Below are 22,664 nucleotides of genomic sequence, written 5' to 3'. Positions count from 1 at the left end.
ATTTTATGTTTTATAATCCTTTGATGAACACTTTCCCCCTTTACCATATGAAGGCATGCTTTGTGAAAGGTAAGTGAATTACAACATAAACTTCTATTTAAGTTAGCTTCAAAATGAAGAATCTGGAAATTCACAGCATGTTTTAAACTGGCCCACGTGACATCTTTCTACTCATATACTTAGGTAGATTAATCAGAAATTTTTATTGCTTTCTTAAATTCCAGAAACCATAAACAAACAAATTCTACAAAAGCCAAGTTTTATAGCCCTGAACAAGATAAGGAGTTATAGTATTTATAGTATCACAGCAGAAAGTTCTGTTAGTATGGAACTTATACTTATTATTATTTTTAATCATAGTTCACTTGTTAACACTAGAGATTAAGCAAAATAAATGGTTTAAAAAAAAATAAGCCTACAGATTTTTTTTTGTAATTCAATCTCATATTTGTTTAATTCTTGGGAAAGTTGCTTTGTATAGATCTATGTTACTGCACTCAGCAGAACCTTTGACATTTGTGTTACTATAAAAAAGATGTATATTATTTTTACTTTGGATATTCTGGAACTGGGATACAGCAAGATTTCATATATTCATTTTACTTTCAAGGTATTAGATGAGGTGTGTTACAACAGATGAGTAGGAGATCACTGGGCAATAGGCAGTCAATAGAAGAGCCTTGGGTAGCTCGTAAAGTAGGTACAAGGGCTTTGTTGCTGAATGGCACGACTTTGGTCTGTTTAAATTAATCCAATTGCTTCAGTTTGTAAATTTAATTTCCACATTCTGGAAACCTTGTTTACAGTTTTTGTTAATAGAAGATGCTTACTGCAAACTTCCAGAACTCAAAGAATAGAGTGATCTTGCAGGGCATGGTGGCTCACACCTGTAATCCCAGCACTTCAGGAGGCCGAGGCAGGAGGATCACTGGAGGCCAGGAGTGTGAGACCAGGCTGGTCAACATTGCGAGACCTTCTCTCTACCAAAAAAATAAATAATGATAATAATAAATTAATTAATTTAATTTAAACATTGTTTTAAAAAAGAAGAGAGTGTTAAAACCCCATCGTCTCAGCCCAAAAACACCTTAAGCTGATAAACAACTTCAGCAAAGACTCAGGATAAAAAAATCAATGGACAAAAATCACAAGCATTCCTGTACACCAATAATAGACAGCAGAGAGCCAAATCATGAGTGAATTCTCATTCACAATTGCTACAAAGAAAATAAAATACCTAGTAATAAAACTTACAAGGGACATGAAGGACCTCTTCAATGAGAACTACAAACCACTGCTCAAGGAAATAAAAGAGAACACAAACAAATGGAAAAAAATTCCATGCTCATGGATACAAAGAATCAATATTGTAAAAATGGCCATACTGCCCAAAGTAATTTATATATTCAATGCTATTCCCATCAAGCTGTCATTGCCTTTCTTCACAGAACTAGAAAAAAACGACTTTAAATTTCATATGAAACTAAAAAAGAGCCTGTATAGCCAAGACAATCCTAAGCAAAAACAACAAAGCTGGAGGCATCATGCTACCTGACTTCAAACTATATTACAAGGCTACAGTAACCAAAACAGCATAGTACTGGTACCAAAACAGATATATAGACCAATGGAACAGAACAAGGGCGTGAGAAATAACACCACACATCTACAACTATCTGATCTTCAACAAACCTGACAAAAGCAAGCAATAGGGAAAGGATTCCCTATTTAATAAATGTCGCTGGGGAAACTGGCTAGCCATATGCAGAAAACAGAAACTGGACCCCTTCCTTACACCTTATACAAAAATTAATTCAAGATGGATTAAAGACTTAAACGTAAAATCTAAAGCCATAAAAACTTTGAGAAATCCTAGGCAATATCATTCAGGACATAGGCATGAGCAAATACTTCATGACCAAAACATCAAAAGCAATAGCAACAAAAGCCAAAATTGACCAATGGGATCTAATTAAACTAAAGAGCTGCTCAGCAAAAGAAAGTATCACCAGATTAAACAGGCAACCTACAGAATGGAAGAAAATTTTTGCAATCTACCCATCTGACAAAGATCTCGTATCCAGAATCTACAAGGAACTTAAACAAATTTATAAGAAAAATACAACCCCATCAAAAAGTGGGCAAAGAATATGAACAGACACTTCTCAAAAGAAGACATTTATGCAGGCAACAAACGTGGAAAAAAAAGCTCATCATCACTGGTCATTAGAGAAATGCAAATCAAAACCACAATGAGATACCATCTCATGCCAGTTAGAATGGTGATCATTAAAAAGTCTGGAAACAACAGATGCTGAAGGGGATGTGGAGAAATAGGAATGCTTTTACACTGTTGGTGGAGTGTAAATTAGTTCAACCATTGTGGAAGATAGTGTGGTGATTCCTCAACGATCTAGAACCAGAAATACCATTTGACCCAGCAATCCCATTACTGGGTATATATCCAAAGGATTATAAGTCATTCTACTATAAAGACACATGTACATGTATGTTTATTGCAGCACTATTTACAATAGCAAAGACTTGGAATCAACCTAAATGCCCATCGATGATAGACTGGATAAAGAAAATGTGGCACATATACACCATGCACTACTCTGCAGCCATAAAAAAGGATGAGTTCATGTACTTTACAGGGACATGGATGAAGCTGGAAACCATCATCCTCAGCAAACTAACACAGGAACAGAAAACCAAACACCTCATGTTCTCACTCATAAGTGGGAGTTGAACAATGAGAACACATGGACACAGGAAGGGGAACATCACACACTGGGGCCTGTTGGGGGATCCGGAGAAAGCAGAGGAAGAGCATTAGGACAAATACCTAATGCATGCGGGGCTTAAAACCTAGATGACTGGGTTGATAGGTGCAGCAAAGCACCATGGCACATGCATACCTATGTAACAAATCTGCATGTCCAGCACTTGTATCCCAGAACTTAAAGTAAAATAAAAAATAAATAAAATAAATAAACAGTGATCTGAAATCAGGGTAGAGGAAAGGAGGAGCGGCAAGGGCAAGGAATATGTTTCAGGCTGTGTTCCTCTCCCCATATAAATCGGAATCAGTGGGGGTAGCGGGATCTACCTACCTTAAAAATCTACCATACTGAAGGTCTCCAAGGTTGTCAGACCCACTGGATGAAGAAAACTAAATTACAAACATAAACTCTAAAATAAAGACAAAGGAAACATACAATAAAATAATAGATTCAGTGGCACAAGAAGCAACCAGAGTTTCTTTTTTTAAAATCTATTTTAGCTTAGTTTATTTTAATTTATCTATTTATTGATAACTCTACCTTCTAATAAGGTTGTTCTCTGCATGGCACTGTGGTGCAGACAATTCAGTCCTCAGAAAGGAGCAGGGACAATTTCACACATGTTGAACGCTCAAGTATAGCATATAAATAAGTGGATATTGTTATTCATTGCAATATTTTAGTAGCAGTAAATGGTTCTTATTTTATGAAATAAATCCATGAGCATTAGACAAAAGTTGAGTATATTAGTAAACAATATGTACAAACATTTTACTGATTTTTTTATTCCTAATGAATTGTGCTCAACAAAACTTTTATGGGTAAATGACAAGAAGTAGGGCTATTGTCCACTGCATTTCAATTTCCAACATAACATTTGGAAGTATATAAGTTTGACGGCAAAAGAAACTTTCAAGGAAGAACTGTTCAGTAATGAGACTGTAGTTTTTCATGATTCTGTTTATGACTTAAGGGGATATTTACTTGTATACTACCCCAGTTTGTGATATATTCATCAAGAATAATAAAGAAACTGACATGAGGGAATTTCAGTTTTCAACACCCTGACGTATTTTAAAGTTTAATAGATGAGGTTATTCAAATGCAAAACAACTACATTCAAGTCAGTACATAAAAACATGTTGAAATTTTCCTTTTATCAAAATATGAGTCAACGCTTGCCCAAATTCAAAACAATTACTGTTTTTGGGAGATAAACAGCAAAATAATTTTCTGCTTTTGTTGGTGTTAGAATTAGGTGCTATATCAGTGTAATAGCCGAGAGTGATATGGTCTAGTAGTATTTTGATGAATTACATGATTATAGTAAAAATGAGCAATTTCATCATGCTTGAATTAATAATGGTACTATGATTTGGCAAGTACTCTTGCAACATTCTCTAACTCATCACTTCAGAAGACAGACTTATATAGTCCATCCATTGTTTTAGAAAATACAGGCTGTAATCGAGTTTAAAAAGCAGAAGGGCCCGGAGAAACATGTCAGCTTTAGAAAGTAATGCATGTACCGGTTCTCATAACAGTATTGCTTGATTATATTACCTCTTACTGGTTATTTTAATCTCTTGCACAACTAACAGTAAATCAGAAAATAGAAATAAATTTTGGAACATTAAAATGTTTACCAAATTTAATTAAAAGTGCTACACACCCCACGGTACTCCTGAGACATTGTACATGTATGTGTGTTATTTTACATTTAGATTTAAGATAATTAAGAAGGATAATATAGAATCAATGCAGCATTCATTTGGGTATCAATCAAGTAAAACACACATACAGAACTGAACATTACATAATTTCAGTCATAAAGAGTACAAATTATGAATTTATTTAATATATTCATAACTAAGTACTCTTCTTTAATGTAACTCACAGTTTGTTTCACAAAATTATTCTGTTCTTTTTCTTTAAAATCTTACATGCCCGGATACATTTCTTAAAAGATACACATTAAGGCACTCTTTTAAGGATTTATACTTAAAGCCTACATTGTAGATCAGAAATAGTCAAAATTAACAGTTTAACATCTTATTTACAGAGATATTTTAACATAAAGCTAAATTACAGATTATCCTTCCTTCTTGAAACAACTTGTAAATATTTTAATAAATACCACTAATGTAAGTATAAAATGAGCATTGAAAACCAATCTACAGTAAATTATATGTTTCTTGCAAATTTTAAACTGATGTCTTATCTGATATATAGGTTTTATTTCTTTTTGAACTTTTAAATAGCATAAAATTGTGTATCCATTATTTTAATGCTACTATTTTTAGCAATCTCAAAATGTACACTCATTCTGTAATATTTTATCTATAATTGGTATCAATAAGACAAAACCTCTTATACTTACTAGAGTAGATTATTTCAAAACAGATATATCTTATTAAAATTTGTGTTACCTTTTTCTCTTTGTGAGTGGTCTTTAAAATATGGATGTTTTGAATTTGAGTTGTAAAATAAAACTGAAAAATATTTACATTTCATTTTTATCAAAGACATTCACAAGTGAAGGCTGTATTTTTATGCCATCCTATGCAAAGCTAGGCAATGGTTCTGGTCTCCATCATTATAAGGTTATTCAGACATGGTGAAAACAGAAGGAAGGTTTGATACGAACTTAGCTTATTTGATTACCTTAAGCAAATCATATGCTTTAAACTTTGGAATTATATGCAGTGTCCTAGAATGCAGTAGTTGACAATCGCCAGAGCCTTGCCTCCCAAAATAGAATAAAACTATTTTGAAGATAGAGAAAAACACAAAACAGCTTCATGTTTTCCTGAATCATTTGTTTTAATCAAAGGAAAAACATATTTGTGTTCTTAAAAGTTGTTTTTATCCATAAAGATAAGCAAATGTTATCAACTGAGTTCTTTTCTATGAAGCCAACCTTGTGTAATTCAAGAGCTAAGAGAACAAGCCATAATTAATGTCAATGAATGACTGAAAATGGTGTGTGTGTGTTTGTGTGTGTGTGCGTGTGTGTGTGTGTCTTTAGAGCTTGATGGTATAAACAAGGCATTCCCATTTCTAGCCATGCAGCATTGCCTTGGCAGGAAGGATAGTGTTTGTATTAGTGCCTCACAGACGGTGCACATTTGTAAGTCCTCAGAGGCCTTCAGAGTTAGCTTTCTAAAAAAAAAAAATCACTTGTTTGATTTTTTTTTAATATTTCATCACGAAAAGCCAAAATGACTTTCACCAATTAGGTCAAATTCCTCCAGACTATGTTTTGTTTATAACCCCTGGATTGTTCTTAGCTGTGTTTCTTCCACTTTGAACTACTTGTAAAGTATATGTCCTTAACATTCTGTATGGAGACTTCCTCTTCTTAAAATTGCAAATTAGAAAATAACTAAGTAACCTTCTCATTGAGAAAACTAGAAATTAGGAGGTGGGAGCAGTTACTCAAAATAGCTGCTTGAAGGCATCAGAAAGCTAAAAGTTATGAAATGTTTCTAGCTCAATTTCCAAGAGAAGATTGAAATCCACAGAAGTGAGTCACCTTTGGGACCTCTGCAGATTCTCAGAGAGGTGGCTGCAAGTCTGAATAGCTCTTCTGAAATTCTTTCATGGCTTGCAGTCACAATTTAGAGTAAAGGGTTCACAAGGACAGTGACCCTGGTATAATCCCCTTATCTCTGAATTGGGACAGAAGGTGAAGTGGACACAAATCAGTCCTCATACAGACCAAACCATAGTCCAGCCTCTAGTCATTTGAATGGCCTTGGAAATATTCGTTGCTCAAATTTCTTTAGGGTATTCTGGAAAGCTACTTCTCCCAGGTGCCACACCAGTGGAAAACAATATCCTAAACTTCAAACTATATCTACAAATAAATTATCGGTTATCATGTCGAGCATCTAATTATACACAACCAAGGAGACAAAAAATATATAAATCAGAATAAATTGGAAAAAAGGGAAACTGAAAGACATCCACTGGGGCTCCTGATATTGGAAATATAAAATGCAGACTTTCAATAAAAACAATGCTTACTACACTTCAGGTCATTTTAAAGACAAGAATAACAATCTGGAAAAATAATTTGAAATGATAAAATATTAGAAGACAAATATGACTTCTAGAACTGGAAATTGTAAGAAACAAGATAAAAAAGTTTATGAATAGTTTTAATGCAGAATAGATGTGAATAAAAGAGAATTAGAGAGGTACGAGAGAGACCAGTAGAAGACACCAGGAATGGATCATGACAGACAGCAAGATTTTAAAAACTTTTAGAAGAAAGGATAAGAAACAGAGTGTACAGATATTAGACCTAGTGAACTTTTATTTGGAGTGCATATTTCAAGGGATGCCTTCTCTGTAGTATATAAGAATATCCCAGGACAGGTCTGGACCCTCAGTCCTGATGAAATGTTACCTCCTTATGGAAGACTCCCTTGAACCCACATTTTAAAACTTCATTTATTTACCTTTATAGGACTTTATATTCTATCCTTACATTATTATAATCTACTTTACACAGATCAATTTATTTATTCAGTAAGTCCCAAAATTGTTTGTTTTGCAAAGACATTTACGTGCTCAGAAGAAAAAAAAAAGATGAATATCATAGATCTTGCATAAAAGTTTGGGTCCTCTTACTTACTAAACTGTCTGTTCTCTTTGATTCATATTACACAGAGCTGTTTAAATAAAGATTGCTATCTTTTTTGTGAGCAGAAAATTCATGTCTTTCTGTTTATTTCAGATATAATACAGGTCCTGTAGTTTCAACCATGGATCAACTGTGTGAACCATCTGTGGATACCTTATGTCAGTGTACCTAAATTAAAAGAACAAGTTATGAGACCTTAATTAATCTCTTGAAAGTAATGTTTGTAGTTTTTCATATTCAAAGTAATTGAAAACAACTTACTCTTGTTAATGGTAGAGGCATGATGAAAAGCCAAATCTTCCATACTGATTCTTTTAACAAAGGAATAAAAACAATCTGCAAACTATATTAACTACTGAGTTATAAACTGCTTAGTCTCATAATCTTCAGGCATATTTCTTAAATTTATAGGTTAATTTTTCCACTGTCTGAGGTAAATAATTGTGATTAGATTACCCATTGCTTTAATTCTACATGCTTATTTAATTTTTTTTTCAGAATACTAATACATGTTCACAGTGGAGATAAATAGAAAATATTCTAAAGCAAATGGAGGTTAATTTAAAAGTACTGGTTATCCCACCAAATCAGAGATAAATTTAGTATTTTTCCTATAAATATATGTGTGACTGTATTTATGAAAATGGGATTATATTGTAATGGAGGTAATACCTTGTAGGGCTGCCAGTAAGATAAAATGAGAACATGTTGCCGAGTGCCTGGTATGCCACAAGTGCTCAATAATCTAGCTATTAAAAGATAGTATTTACACTTTTAAAATCTATTTTTATCACTAGACTTCATATAATGAACATTTGTTGTGGGTACATACTCATTTACAATTCCTGTTTCTCTAAAATTATAGAACCATATTTAGTTGTGTGGATAAATCTAATTTTTTTCTATTGCTAGAAAAAATATTTCTAATTATAATAATGGGAAAAAGCAAGACAGATATCCTTGCTGATGATCTTTTTTTAAAAAATTCTTTTTAGTGAGATCTCTTTGGTTAGTTTCTAGTATGATATACATCTGTATGTTGAAACTACTTTATTTTTTATGACCCAAACAAAACAAGTATCTCACATTGATTTAACTGTTTACCCTCCTCTCACTCTTTGTGCTAGCATAGTCACATATTTTACAATTACACGTTATATATCCTACAAGATATTATGTTAAACGCCAGTTATAAGTTTATTGCCTCTCAGCTGTGATCTGCCCTACATTACTTGCTCATGATACTAGAATTGCACCCCATAATCCAGGGGTGTCCAAGCTTTTGGTTTCCCTGGGCCACATTGGAAGAATTGTCTTGGGCCACACATAAAATACGCTAACAGCAACGATAGCTGATAAGCTGAAAAAAAAAAGCTCCGTGCATAAATCTCATAATGTTTTAAGAAATTTCATGAATTTGTGTTGGGCTGCATTCAAAATCGTCTGAGCAGCCCATGGACCACGGGCTGGACAAGCTTGCTGCAATCAGTTCTCCTTCATCAGTTGGCTCAATAGTAAGCTTTGCGGTGGGGCGGGGGGTGCTGTTGGGACACTGCAGGGCAAAGCAAGGGAAGAAGCTTGTCTTCTGGGTTCTGCTGGCCTTTCTTTCTGCTTCCTATGGCATTGCTTCCAGCAGCACATGAAACAATGTTCAGTGGCTCTCAAGTTTCAGATTTTCACCAAAAATCAAGCAACTTCCTGCTCACCATTCCCAGTCTACTGGCTGTGGAACAGCTCTGTGCCATGGCACCCAGTGAGTGTCTTCACCCTCCAGTAGGCCACAGACTTATCCTCTTTAGCAAGAACTGAATCTCAGGCTAGTAGTAGTGTTGGGAAGCAAGGGGTCACCCAGGTTTATTTCATCTTTGGGTGCTCTTCCTTAGCCTTGGAGATAGAAGGCTATTTGCTATTCCTGTATTACTTAGCATTTTCTTATATTCTTTTGTTATATTTGTTAACCACCTTTTACTAAATAATTCTTTTTTTTTTTTTTGGAGTCTTGCTCTGTAACCCAGGCTGGAATGCAATGGCATGATCTTGGCTCCCTGCAACCTCCACCTCCTGGGGTTCAAGTGATTCTCCTGCCTCAGCCTCCGAGTAGATGGGATTACAGGCCCCCGCTACCATGTCAGGCTAATTTTTGTATTTTTAGTAGAGACAGGGTTTCACCACATTGGCCAGGCTGGTCTCAAACTCCTGACCTCAGGTGATTCACCCGCCTCAGCCTCCCAAAGTGCTGGGATTATAGGTGTGAGCCACCGAGCCCAGCCTATTTAATAATTCTTTTATACTAATATTTTTCTGCTCAAATTATTACTGTGCTTTCTGTTTCTTGGTCAGAACCTGGTTTTTTTTTATAACTTTAAGTCATTAATATTCATTTTCATTTACTTACACATTTATCGTTTCTGGTCATTTCATTCCAACTTGAAGCTTTGAGTTTGCATCTGAGATCATGTTTCTTCATGGTGATGAAATCTTTTCAGTAATATTTGAAGTGCAAGTGTGAGGAATGCAAGGAGTCAGGGTTTTTGTTTATTTTATCTGAAACCTTTATTTCACCTTCATCTTAAAAGCACATATTCAGTGGATATACACTTTAGTAGCTTTTTTATTCTTTTCAGTACTTTAAATATTTCAATCTATCGTTTTCTAGCTCCCCAAATTTGGTTGACATGTATGTCATCAGTATATGGCTCCCGTGGATGTAATATCAGATCTTGCTTTGGCTGCTTGTGGAATTTTATGTTTGTATTTGATTTTTAGCAATTTGACAATGATTGCCTATGATTAGTTTTCTATGTATGTATCCTATGGGATTTGCTGAGATTCTTTCTTCTGTGGGTTGATGTTGTTCTTTGGATTATTACTTCAAAAAATTTTTTTGCATCATTCTCTTACCCCTTGCACTCTAGGAGTCTAATTAAAGCTTATTTGACCTTTCGGTTGAGTCCCACCTATTCTCATATATTCTGACTTTTTTTTTAGAATTCATTTTTCTGTCTGTACTTCAGTTTGAATATTTTCTATTGACATATTTTCTGAGTTCACTCATCTGGTTCTCTGCTATGTTCAGTATGTTAAGCCCATCCAGTGAGACATCTACCACCAAACTAGTAAGGGGGTTTTTAGTATTTTTTTTTAATTATTAAGATAGAATCTACATAGGTGTATATATGGTATTTGTCAATTACTATCAACAGATGTTTATATCTAAGTACAAAAACCATAGTCAACATATAAATCATTCATTCTCATCATCTCAGAAATTTTCTTCATATCCATTTGCAGTCAATTCACAGACCTCGTAAGTACGTATTCTTCACATTTCTGTAACCATAGATGAGCCCTTCCTGTTCTTGAACTTCATATAAATGAAATCACACAGCATGTACTCCTTTGTATCCACATACTTTTATTTAACATCATGTTTTTGAGATTTACCAATGTAGTCGCAGGGACTGGTAAGTTATTATTACTATTATTCTTATTACAACTACTACTATATACACATATACATATATGCATGTATGTGTATTCTACATGTATTCTTATTACAACTACTATATACACTTACATGTATATATGTATATGTGATATTACATTCACGGGAGCCATATACTAATGACATACACTTCAACCAAATACACACATACATGTATATATGTATATGTGTATATAGTAGTTGTAATAAGAACAATAGTAATAATAAATGAATTTTTATTTATCTAGACAGTTCCTAGGAATGGAATATTGGACCATATGATAAGTTTAAGTGTATAAGAAACTTTTGGTTTTCCAAAGTGGTTGAACCATTTCATACTTTGACAGCAATTAATGGGAGTTCCAGTGGCTCTGCAGTTTCATCAACATTTGGTGTTGCAGTAATTTTCTTTTTTGTTGTTCTTTTTTTTTTTTCTAACCAGTCTAGGTGTGTATAGTAGTGTCTTCTTGTCATTTGAACTGTATTTCCCTGATGACTAAGATGTTGAGCAATTTTTATGTGCTTATTAGCTAATCATATATCTTCCTTTTAGAAGTTCCTAAAGAAATTTGCCCATTTTTGCTGTAGTTTTTATTTTTACTTATCATTAAAAGTTGCTTATGTAGTCTAAATATAAGTCCTTCTTCAGTTATGTGTATTGCAAATATTTCCTCTCAGTGTGTGATCTGCTTTATTTTCTTAACAGTATTGGTTAAGAGAAGTCTTTAATTTTGATAGAGTCCAGTTTATTTGTATTTTTTCTTTTGTGGAATCTATATTTTTATATTTTTTTCCAAAACACTTTATAGCTTTTGGTTTTATATTTAGTCTATGATCTATTTCAAATTAAATTTTTTGGTATGGAGTGGGGTATGTGTCAAAGTTTTTTTCTTGTTTTGATTTTCTTTTACATTTATCTAGTTTTTCTGGAACCATGTTTTTCAAAATTTTTTTTCTCCATTTATTGCCTTGGCCCTTTGTTGAAAACCAATTGATAATATGTGTCTATTTCTGCAATCTATTATGATTCTTCAATCTATTTATCTATCACTACACATGAGATTTTGATCTGGATTACAGCATTTAGGGAAAGTAAACATCTTAATATTGGGTCTTCTAATTCACATAGTCTATCTACTCTCTTAAGATGTGGCTTAGGTGTTATTATATCTTAGAGGAATTCCAGGTCCTGTATCTCTCTCCATGTTGGCTTAGGGGATCTTCATTTGTGTCCTCATATGTGAAAATTACATATTTCTACAGTTTATCAATTTATGCAAGTAAGTTATACTTAGTCATGGACCATACATTATTTGTTTCTTTACTTTCTAGCAGAAAAATAAATGGGACCAAAGAAAGTATTCTTTATATAATTACAGTAATAATTCATCTAAGATGCTGGTTTAGGAGGACATTTAGTTAATTATACATATATTTTAAATACTAAGGGCCAGCCAGTCATTATTTTTTGGATGGAAAACATAAATACATGAACCTTATCATCAAAAAAATGTTATAGGTAGCATTGCTAACCCCATTTTGTTTGTTTGTTTTTTTGAGACATAGTCCCACTCTGTTGCCCAGGCTGGAGAGCAGTGACACAATCTCAGCTCATTGCAACCTCCACCTCGAGTTCAAACAATTCTCCTGCTTCAGCTTCCCAAGTAGCTGGGACTACAGGTGTGCACCACCATGCCTATCTAATTTTTGTATTTTTAGTAGAGACTGCATTTCACCATGTTGGCCAGGCTGGTCTCTAACTCCTGACCTCAAGTGATCTGCTCGCCTCAGCCTCCCAGAGTGCTAGGATTACAGGCGTGAGCCACTGCACCTGGCCACTAACTCTGTTTAAATAGATTTTGCACATTTTTAAACACTGAGTTGTAAGTGTATCACCGCATATAAATTTGCTTCCATTTTTCATTGGTTTCCTTGATTCTTATAAATCAGTCATAACTATTATTATAAATATATATTCATATTCACATATTTTTCCTTTTTTAAATTTTGGCTATGGACTACAGATACTATATTTTGAGTGTTTTAGATATTTATCAGTTTTTTCTGAAGAATTCATAGTAAAATTGAGTCCAGCTATTGTTCCTCAGAATATAATTTAGATAATAAATAAGAAAATGAGTAAATGTGGGTGAGAGTATTTATTTCAAATTTTGACCTTTTTTATACAGGAAATTTTGCTAGGGAAATTACTGTTCCATTTGATTCTGAATGATTTTGATGTTTGTTGTCCCTTGTATAAATTGTTCATCAATGTTTCTGTTCATTTTCCCATTAAGTTTCATCAATTTTCCTAGTTGATTTGCAAAAGTACTTGAATTGCAAGCATTAATTCTTTGTCTGCTTTTGTCTCTGAATACATTACTCACATATTAACCTTATCTGCAGTATCTACTGTTCAACACAGATGTTCCTATGGCATTCAACTTTATCTATTGTTTGTAACTTTGGGGTCTTACTCAGAAGTCCTTCTTTACCTAACTTTGACATTTTAGCTATCATAATTCACCATTGTGTACAGTGTAACTGTGATATATCTTAATTGTATCCAAATAGTAAACCATTTTCTCAACATTTTCTATCTAAGTTGTGCATACTTCTTCTGCTGGTTTATTGTGCCACTTCTCTCATATGCCAAGCGCCTATGTGTGTATGTGTGTCCCTTACCTTTCCATTCTATTCTAATTTAAATGTTTATTACTGAACCAATTTTACACTGTTTTTAATTCTATAAATTTGGAGTATGTGTTCATATGTGGAAGTATGAGTTTTATAGTTAGCTGTTGTTTTTTAAATAGACTTAGCCAATTATAGTGTTCTAATAAAAATGGAGCCATTGTATTGCACAGCTCCAGAAGGTGCCCTTTACATAAACTACGAAGTGAAGGACGGTCCCTGTTATTACAATATATTCCATGTGAATGGTGCTCACTAGAGTTCGATGACACAGCAGTTCTGGAGTTCTGAATTTTCACTCTGAATTGTTTTATGTATGTGTTTGTGTGTGTGTATAAGTGTGTGTATGTGTATTGTTTGTAGCAAGTATGAATGCAAGCTCTGGAGCTAAACTACTGGGTTCAAATCCTGGCATTTTTATTTCCCATGTGTGTGAAATTTATTTGCTTCAATTTTGTATTCCATAAAATAGAGACAATGATAAGACCAACTTCAGGGGATTTACATGTTTGATATTTATTATTTATCATAGCTTTTAATACTCTCTTTTCTGCTGATAGAAACCACCTAAATATATTTATCTTTTTATACCCAATGGTACTATCAAAGAGGTTCTTTGTGTAATGAAACTTATCAAGAAATGTGCTTGAGAATATCTTTATTGGGCTTTGCTCATTTAAATGGTAGTTTAACTATATATATGACTATATAGTTGGAATTTCTTTTTCTTTATGATGCTGAAAATATTACTGCTCTGCTACTTAGTACATTATCTGTAGATGTTGAGAAGCAAGACTGTTTCTCAGTTTATTATAGAAGATCTATTTTTTTTCTCCTTGGTGGCCTTTAAAATTGTCTTTATGTTTTTGTAATTCTTAGATTTCACTGCATTTCTAGGTATCAGTCGTTTTTATTATTTGTCCTGCTTGACTTGCCATAAATCCTTTGTATCTGAGTTCTCATAATTTTATTTGTTAAACTCCGCATCAGTAATTCATTAAATTTTTCCAGTCATTTCTTTTTTAATCTGTTTGAATTTTTTGGATATGTAACTTAACCTTCCCCTTCATTCTGCATTCCTTTATTAGCATTCTCCCTTTGTAATCCTTCTCAATAAACTGCGTCATCTTGTTTTCCATTTCTCTTGCTAATTCTTCAGCTGTGTGTATGTGAACCATATACTGAGTTCTCTTTTCTGTGATGTTTTCACACCCAGAACTACTAGTTGTCATTGTTGCTATATTTTACTATTGTTTCTGTTTCAATAAACAAAGTGTACAATACTTTCTTTTGCTTATTTGAAGATATTTAGCATACTCATTTTAAAGTTAATTTGTAGGTTTGCAGTTTGTTGTCTTCAGCCTATAGGTTTGCAGATTGGTGTCTTTGTCTTATATTTGTCTTTTTATTTTCCCTTGTGAGTTTGTATTGTCTTTGGGAGTTAGTCACCTTTACTGGGTTGTACACTTGGGGATGGGATGATAATTTTTGTCCTGGCCTTTGTCTTTCTTGGTGACTTTAGGGGACAGGAGACATGCCATAGCATAAAGAGCTTTTATGAGATAATCTGTACATTTACTCAGACACTGTCTTTTAAAGAGATATTTCTTTTCTCCCTGTCTCCTAGGCCGACTATTCCTGCAAGGGTACAAAATAGAGGAAGGGAAAAGGCACTTTTCCACCAAAATGTATGACTACCTAAATTGACATGACCTAGACTGTTTCTACTCCAAGTTCTTCTGCCTTGCATTCCTTCCACCTCGACCTCCACCTCCCAACACTCTCCCATTCACATACAGCCCTAACCATCTTCTTTTGCCCCCACACATCCACCAACATTTCTATGATATCTGCTGGCTGAGAAATTCATCAACATCTCTTTCTGAAATATCTTCATGTTTGGGTTAGAAGAAGGAGCCAAAATAGCATATTATTACACCAACTTCTCAGGAACTAAAACTTGGAAAAGTTCCTCAAAATATAAATATACAGGCATATAAATTATTCACACCTTAAATTATTCTCACCACTATAGAATCTCAGAAGCTAAATAGCATCCCAAAATTAGATAAGTAAACCTATTTGCAGAGAACTTTGAGGATGGGTAATGCCATATAGCCTTTTCTTGTATTTCCCTATATCAGAATTTTGCACTGAGTAGGGCATCTATAAAACATTACTAAGTTACCAGTGTTTAAATTTCCATGTTACATTGTTGCTAAATCTGTGAGATAATTATGACCAAACTGATTGTAATACCTAGAAAAAGAAAAACAAAACAACACAACAGTATCTTAAGGCTTAATTCCAGAATAACTCAAGTCAATAAAAAGTTGTTAATATACAATCAGCCTATGACTATCTACATTATACATCTTTCACTGATACATTTAGCATATAAATAAGACTTTAATATGTATTACCACACACACAAACACATTTTAGTGTTTCTAAAATACTGATATTTGTATTAATGTGATCTGATTCTTTACGTCCTTTGAAATTAATACTAAACCAATATGCAAGAAGGAAGAGAGGTGAGGATTTCCATAAACTTGGTCAACAGTTTCAAAAAGAAATACAATCCGATCGGGATTTTATTTGATTTCCTCCAGTTCCATAAGGTGAAAAAAAAAAGATTCAATGAGAGGAGATGGCATTCACCCATCCATTTAAAGTCAGTGCTGTATTTCCAAGGGCTAAAAGAGTTACAGTTGCACTGTTCATTACTTTGAACTGTCACATTTTCTAGTATGACAAGATGTATTATGGATGGGGGGTTTTATAGATGTGGAGAAATCTCTCTCGAAGTTGTTTATTTGATTTTCTCCCCTTCTGCCTCTTTGTACTTCAGCGGCCAACCTTGGGATAATGGGATTACTTTATGCCTTCCACATCAGGCTCTGGATGAGTGCGCAGAGGCCAGTGGCAAGAGAAATAAGATGGTTGTAAAAATGCAAACGTTGGAAGTTAAAAAAGGTGCACCCAATAACTTGCCCTTAAATTTAAAAGGAACTTAATGAGGAACTTCTGGACAATTTATCTTACTGTTTACTGATAACAAGTCACTTTGTTTTTATGTTCTCAGTCCAGTATTCCGTAATTTATTTGAAAGAAGATGAGAAATAATGTAGATAAATGATGAAGTGTCAGGGTCTGACACTCTTAAATGAAGCTATTATGGTCAAAGAGAAAACGTAAAACCTGCGGCTCATTATGAGAGTGTTCTACTTGTCAGTTAAGTGAAAAGGCCTGGAATGATTTCCAGTTTATTTGTCATTGCAGTTATTAAAGCTGTCTTTTTGGTGCCATGAAAATGAATTGAAGACTTTATTCGAAGTAAATTTGTACTAAAGCTTTCAGATGTATCTTATGTGAGCTCAGTGAGGCAAGGAAGCAGCTTAAAAGCTGAAATACTACAAGGAGACAACTACCAAAGTCTTTGAAACACACAGAATACATAAGTGCTGATAAATGAAGCGCTTTTTTGACCAGGAAACAAACTTTTGACTGTCATAATGGAATAAGATTGGTAATGGGATATAATACCTACTAATTGTTGGAAGATATTTTATCCCTATGAGGAATGAATTGCCTACATATTTTAGTAACAGTTCTACCAGCCTATCTTTCCAAATATTGATTTATAAGAAAGGTTAAAGAATGCATCATTTTTGATAATACATACTTAATACTTAGTAAAAATTAATAGAATAAATACATCATAGAAACAAAAAAAAAGTTTAGTATTTTTTGAGTAATAATAACTGCTAGGCTAGAACAATAACCTCTTAAAAACTTGGAAAGAAGTTCAAAAAACCAGAGTAGCATATTCCATTTTCCTAATTGAATTATTGGACTGCAAAACGCTGCATCTTACTGCAAAAAATAAATATATTATTGACATTTTTATCTTACAGGACTCGTCTTCAAATACCTTACATCCTTACCGAGGTGTGAGAATAACCTGTACTTTAGCTTAAGTTAGAAGAAAATCAAATCAGATGGACTACTGACATGGTTGAGATGGATTGTTTTTAAGCATTGAAAAAATTAACCCATTTGTTTCCTTCTTTCATGGCTGAGAGGTCTTTGCTGTTCCCTTGTGCTACTCTGGCAATCACAAATATTTTTTGCATTGTTTAGTTATGCTTTTTGAAAGTTTAGAAGTGGATATTAATAGGGATACCTAAAGAAAAATGGATAGACTATATCAGTTTTTCACCTCACCACATTAAATAAGAAGAATCACTAAAATGAATATTGTATTTCAGGCCCAAGAAATCTTCCAGTCATGCCGTTGACTCTTTATTGTGGATATTACAAATGTTTTGACACATCTTCAGGGTCAGTTTACAAAGAAAACGGATTCTGCATCCTCCTCAAAGGTAATTTTTCAGTGTTTCCATCATATTTTATAGCCATTTTCAGTGATATTGTCAGAGTAAACAGTCTACCAGGCTCTTTATTATACCCCTTATTTTCAGGCATTTAAATGTGTAAAACCTCCCTTTGAAATCAAATTCGTTTTTATATTTGGGATATTTGAAATATTCCTATAGCTTTGATATTCTAATAGCTACAAATCCCAATGAGGTAAAAATAAATGCTTTACAAAATCATAGCTGTGATGTGACAGTGAAGAAAGCTATACAACATAGCACTTGCTAGATAAAGGTGTAGAGAGTTTAGATTTAACCTGTTTGAGAGTTAGATTGTGTTTATATTCCTATTAAGGTTTGAAACAAACAAAATGGTTGAATAGGTTAAATAAGCAATTACTTTGGAAAAAATTAGAGTAATCCTTTGATTCACATATTAGTATTAATGCATACACATCTCTCTTTTTTTGTTGTTTGTTTTTGAGACAGAGTCTCGCACTGTTGCCCAGGTTGGAGTGCAATGGCGTGATCTCAGCTCACTGCAACCTCTGCCTCCCAGGCAGCTGGCTCAGCCTCCTGAATAGCTGGGATTACAGGCACCTGCCACCATGCCCGGCTAATTTTTTGTATTTTTAGTAGAGATGGGGTTTCACTATGTTGGCCAGGCTGGTCTTGAACTCCTGACCTCGTGATCCTCCCACCTCAGCCTCCCAAAGTGACGGGATGACAGGCATGAGCCACCACACCCAGCCACATCTTCCTTTGATGTGTACATACACTGCATAATCACCTTATGTTTTTGAGCCTATTCAGGTTTTTTTAAACCATTTAAAGAATTTTTATTAAACCAAGAATTTCATAATCCAAGTTATATTTCCTTGTTTAGTTATCAATTCTGTTATTTAAAACATAACTGACATTCTGAGCTTTTCCACAGTTAAGAGTTAAAAAATTAAAGGAATGCTTTAAATTTTCATACTTTGCTGAAAATTATTTTTCCCAGGATCTATAAAACATTAATTTGTTTTTAATTTTTTTTTTTTTTGAGATGGAGTTTTTTTGCTCTTGTTGCCCAGGCTGGAGTGCAATGGTGCGATCTTGGCTCACTGCAACCTCTGCCTCCCGGGTTCAAGCAATTCTCCTGCCTCAGCCTCCCTAGTAGCTGGTATTACAGGTACCCACCACCACGCCCAGCTAATTTTTTGCATTTTTAGTAGAGATGAGGTTTCACTATGTTGGCCAGGCTGGTCTCGAACTCCTGACCTCAGGCGATCCACCCCAGCCTCCCAAAGTGCTGGGATTACATGTGTGAGCCACCACACCCAGCTTGTTTTTAAATTTTCCTATTTTTTTGTTTTCTTTTTTCTGTTATTTTCAAATCAATAAGTAATCTAGGACTAGTAAGTTTGCTAGACTTGGTATTTCCTCAGTACATAAGGTTCAAAGTTTGCTTTCCTTTTTTGTTTATATTTTGTAATTTTTTTCCATAATATTTTAGTTTTTTGATGTTTAGATATTTTTCTTTGTTGAAACACAAGTTTTTTTTGTTTTATTGTTTTTTTGTTTTTTGGTGGTCCCTGATCAATTTTAAGCAGTTGGTACAACAGTAGCACTGTTAATTGCTTTCTGGAGCCTCTTTCACATGGTAGGCTTGTAGTACAACTACAGCTTCAGAGACTCCGGAGACACAAGCATATGAAGAAGTTTTAAATTATCAAGCTCCAATAACATGCCAGTGATTTTACCAGCAAGAGTAGGGTGCGTGGCTTGAATAAGAGGAAAGAGTCTTTCACCCAATATCTGCTTCTGCTGCTGAAGAGGGGCAGATGCTAACATGGAAGCAGTCAAAAGTTTTTGACCTTGGACATGAACAGCAAGCTGCTTCCTGGTAACCTGTGGATGTGCTTTAAGATGCTGCTGAGGAATGAGAATTCCTGAAGCATATTTGTACTGTGGAATGATGTAGACCGCAGGAGTGGAGCCAGCAGCAGCAGCTACAGGACATGGACTAATTGTCTGTATTGATGAGTTAGCAACATACTGTGTGGACATGACTGGTGGAACCTGTGAAGAAGCTGGTCTCAGAGTGGTGGTTACGAGCAGCTGAGCGGATAGCACAGGTCATATTTGGAATGGATAAGGTCTGACACTCTGAACAGCCCAGGGAGGACTTGGTCTTAGTTGAGCAATTTGGCCAGGAGGATAGTATGCAGCACGGTTCTGGGTCTGTGGGATAGCTGCTACGAAGTAACATGTAGAAGGTGCTGGCTGGTAGGGGTTGATTACAGGGTGGGGCACAGCTCGTACACTTGCCATCTTCTGCATGTATTGGTTAGTGAAGTGAGCCAGGCGCTGTTCTTTGCACTGAGCTAAAGCTACATGCAATGGCTTGCTGGCCACAATTTTACCGTTCATTGCTGTAACTGCTTTAGCTACTTCTTCTGGGGAGGAGAAACATACAAAGCCAAACCTTTTGCTGCAACCACCCTCCATCATAACATTTGCACTATTGATTATACCAAATGGAGAAAATTCTTTCTGGAGACGTTCATCATCAATACTCTCATCAAGATTTTTCACACAAACGTTAGCACCCTGGTATCTGGTGATTCTATCTTGCTTCATCTGTTCAAATTTGCACTTAAGTTCTGTCTGCTCTTCCACTTTTTTCGGAGCTAGACAAATGTAAGTTTGATTTCCACTGAACTCCTTTCCATTCACATCCATAGCTGTCTGTGGATCTTCATGCCTTTCAAAGCTTACAAATCCAAATCCTTTGGATTTTCCACCTTCATCAGTTATTACTTTTACACTTGAGGCAGGTCCAACTTTGGACTCTTTTGCCCTAGCTCCAAGTTCTGCTTCTTGTTCTTTAGGAGACCTAAACCGTCCAACAAATACATTGAGACCATTCAGGAGCATCCCATCCATTTTTTCAATAGCTCCTTCAGCTGCTTCCTGTGTCTCAAAGTGTACAGATCCACAGCCCTTAGAACCATTTTCATCACAAACTACCTTACACGAAAGGAAGTTACCAAAAGCAGAAAATGCATCACACAGTGCTTTCTCAACGGATTTGTCCTGGTTTTTAACGAATACGTTGCCCACTCCACTTTTGCGCAGCGATAGATCGCGCTGAGACCACAGGACTTATACTGGCTTGCCCTTTATAACATCAAAGTTCATGGTGGCCAGAGCACGCTCCGCGTCTGCCGGCTGCAGGAAGTTCACGGACACGTAGCCCACGAAGAGGTGGGTGAGCCAGTCCCTAAAGACCCGGATGGTGAGGGTGGACCTGTCGAGCTAAACTTCTCTTGGAACATCAATTCAGTCACGTCGGGGTGCAGGTCCCCCACATACAGCGAGGCCATGTGGTAGCTGGGGGCGCTGGGGTTCATCGCGGCACGGCTGCCCACAGGGCTACAGGCCGCGACCCTTTCGTGACAGGAGGAGAGCGAGTGCCGGGCCGGGGGTCTCGCAGCCGGGGGCGGGGAGCAAGGGCACGCGCCGAGGGACAAAAATCATCCGAATCAGAAACAACTCACTGGCCACAGAGCGAGGTCGCTTGTCCGCCGCTGTCTGCTGGCTGCCGGTGTCCGGTTCGGGCGGCGGGAAGGCCTGGGTCTCGTGGTTCCTCCTTACGGCTGCTGCAGGGCCGCGGGTGGGGTCGGTTTTGGCTGCTGACAGGGTTATTTAATAAAAGGGGAAGAAAAAATATTATAGTAACTCTCTGGAGGAGTAGATGCCGATTTGAGGGGATATTTTTAAAAGATTTTTTTAGACTTTTCTTGAATTTTTAGTAAATGCATGTTGTCCTCAGCCTCAGCACTAACCGCCAGGGAGAAAGGCTATATTCAAGTTTTTATGTCAAGCTAATTAGTTCCTCTGATCAAATATATTTTATCCCGGTTTATTTACTTAGTATGTAGATGTCAAACACTAAATTAGTTGGATGACAAACATTGCAGTTTTTCTTTTTATTGAGCTTATGGAATAAAGAAGGAGGCAGTATCATAAAACATACGAAATACATGTTAAGTGCAATTAAAGGGCGGCATAGGAGTTCAGAGGCGTCTAATTTAGCTAATGTTTGTAGGCAAGGAAGACTTCCCAATGGAAAAAGATTCCTGACCTTGAATATTGAAGAAACAGAAGAATTGACCCAGTAAGACTATATCAAAAGGATCCTACCTGCATTTAGGTTTCCATAAACCAACAATCCACCTAGCTAGTTCCTTTCCGTTCAGGACACTAGGCCAGATTTCTTTGGGAGAAAAATCATTGAGCTTCTTCTTCCCCCACAAAACACTTAGAGTCAATGTGGGACTCTAGCTATATTAGTAATAGGGAGTTCAAAGCCCATGAGGTTAGAGATGATTTGCTTTATTATAAATAGCCATAGATTAAAATCATACTAATTTCCCTTCTTTCTCTTTATAAATATGTATTCACAATGCCTACATACAGAATTAACATGTGGTTATTAAATGACAATGGGAAACAAGAAATTTAGAAATTTACCTATTCTTTTACTATATGTTTACATAAACATAAAAATAACAGAAATTTTTTTTTAATGTTCCAGGTGCTTTTCTTAAAGTTTTAATTTTCCATTTTTCCCTAAAAGCATGACAAGTAATTTTAAAATTAAACTATAAATCATTTGG

At 35.2% G+C, this 22,664-nt stretch overlaps 1 long non-coding RNA gene and 1 pseudogene across 2 annotated transcripts in view; one reads left to right on the top strand and one right to left on the bottom strand.

The window, feature by feature from the left end:
- The first annotated feature begins 17,402 nt into the window (after positions 1 to 17,402).
- Positions 17,403 to 22,664, top strand: part of LOC124907895 (uncharacterized) — a 36,037-nt gene continuing 30,775 nt past the window's right edge. The window contains exon 1 of the long non-coding RNA XR_007087254.1: positions 17,403 to 18,003. This is a non-coding gene — a long non-coding RNA (uncharacterized LOC124907895). The remainder of the gene's footprint in view (positions 18,004 to 22,664) is intronic.
- Positions 17,911 to 21,844, bottom strand: PABPC1P2 (poly(A) binding protein cytoplasmic 1 pseudogene 2; annotated as a pseudogene). The gene has a single exon (NR_026904.1). The product of NR_026904.1 is annotated as a poly(A) binding protein cytoplasmic 1 pseudogene 2 (transcript).

The sequence above is a fragment of the Homo sapiens genome, chromosome 2 (assembly GCF_000001405.40).
Source record: "Homo sapiens chromosome 2, GRCh38.p14 Primary Assembly".
NCBI lineage: Eukaryota > Metazoa > Chordata > Mammalia > Primates > Hominidae > Homo > Homo sapiens.
The sequence above is the reverse complement of the archived record's forward strand: the minus strand, read 5'-3'. Positions and strand labels throughout refer to the sequence as shown.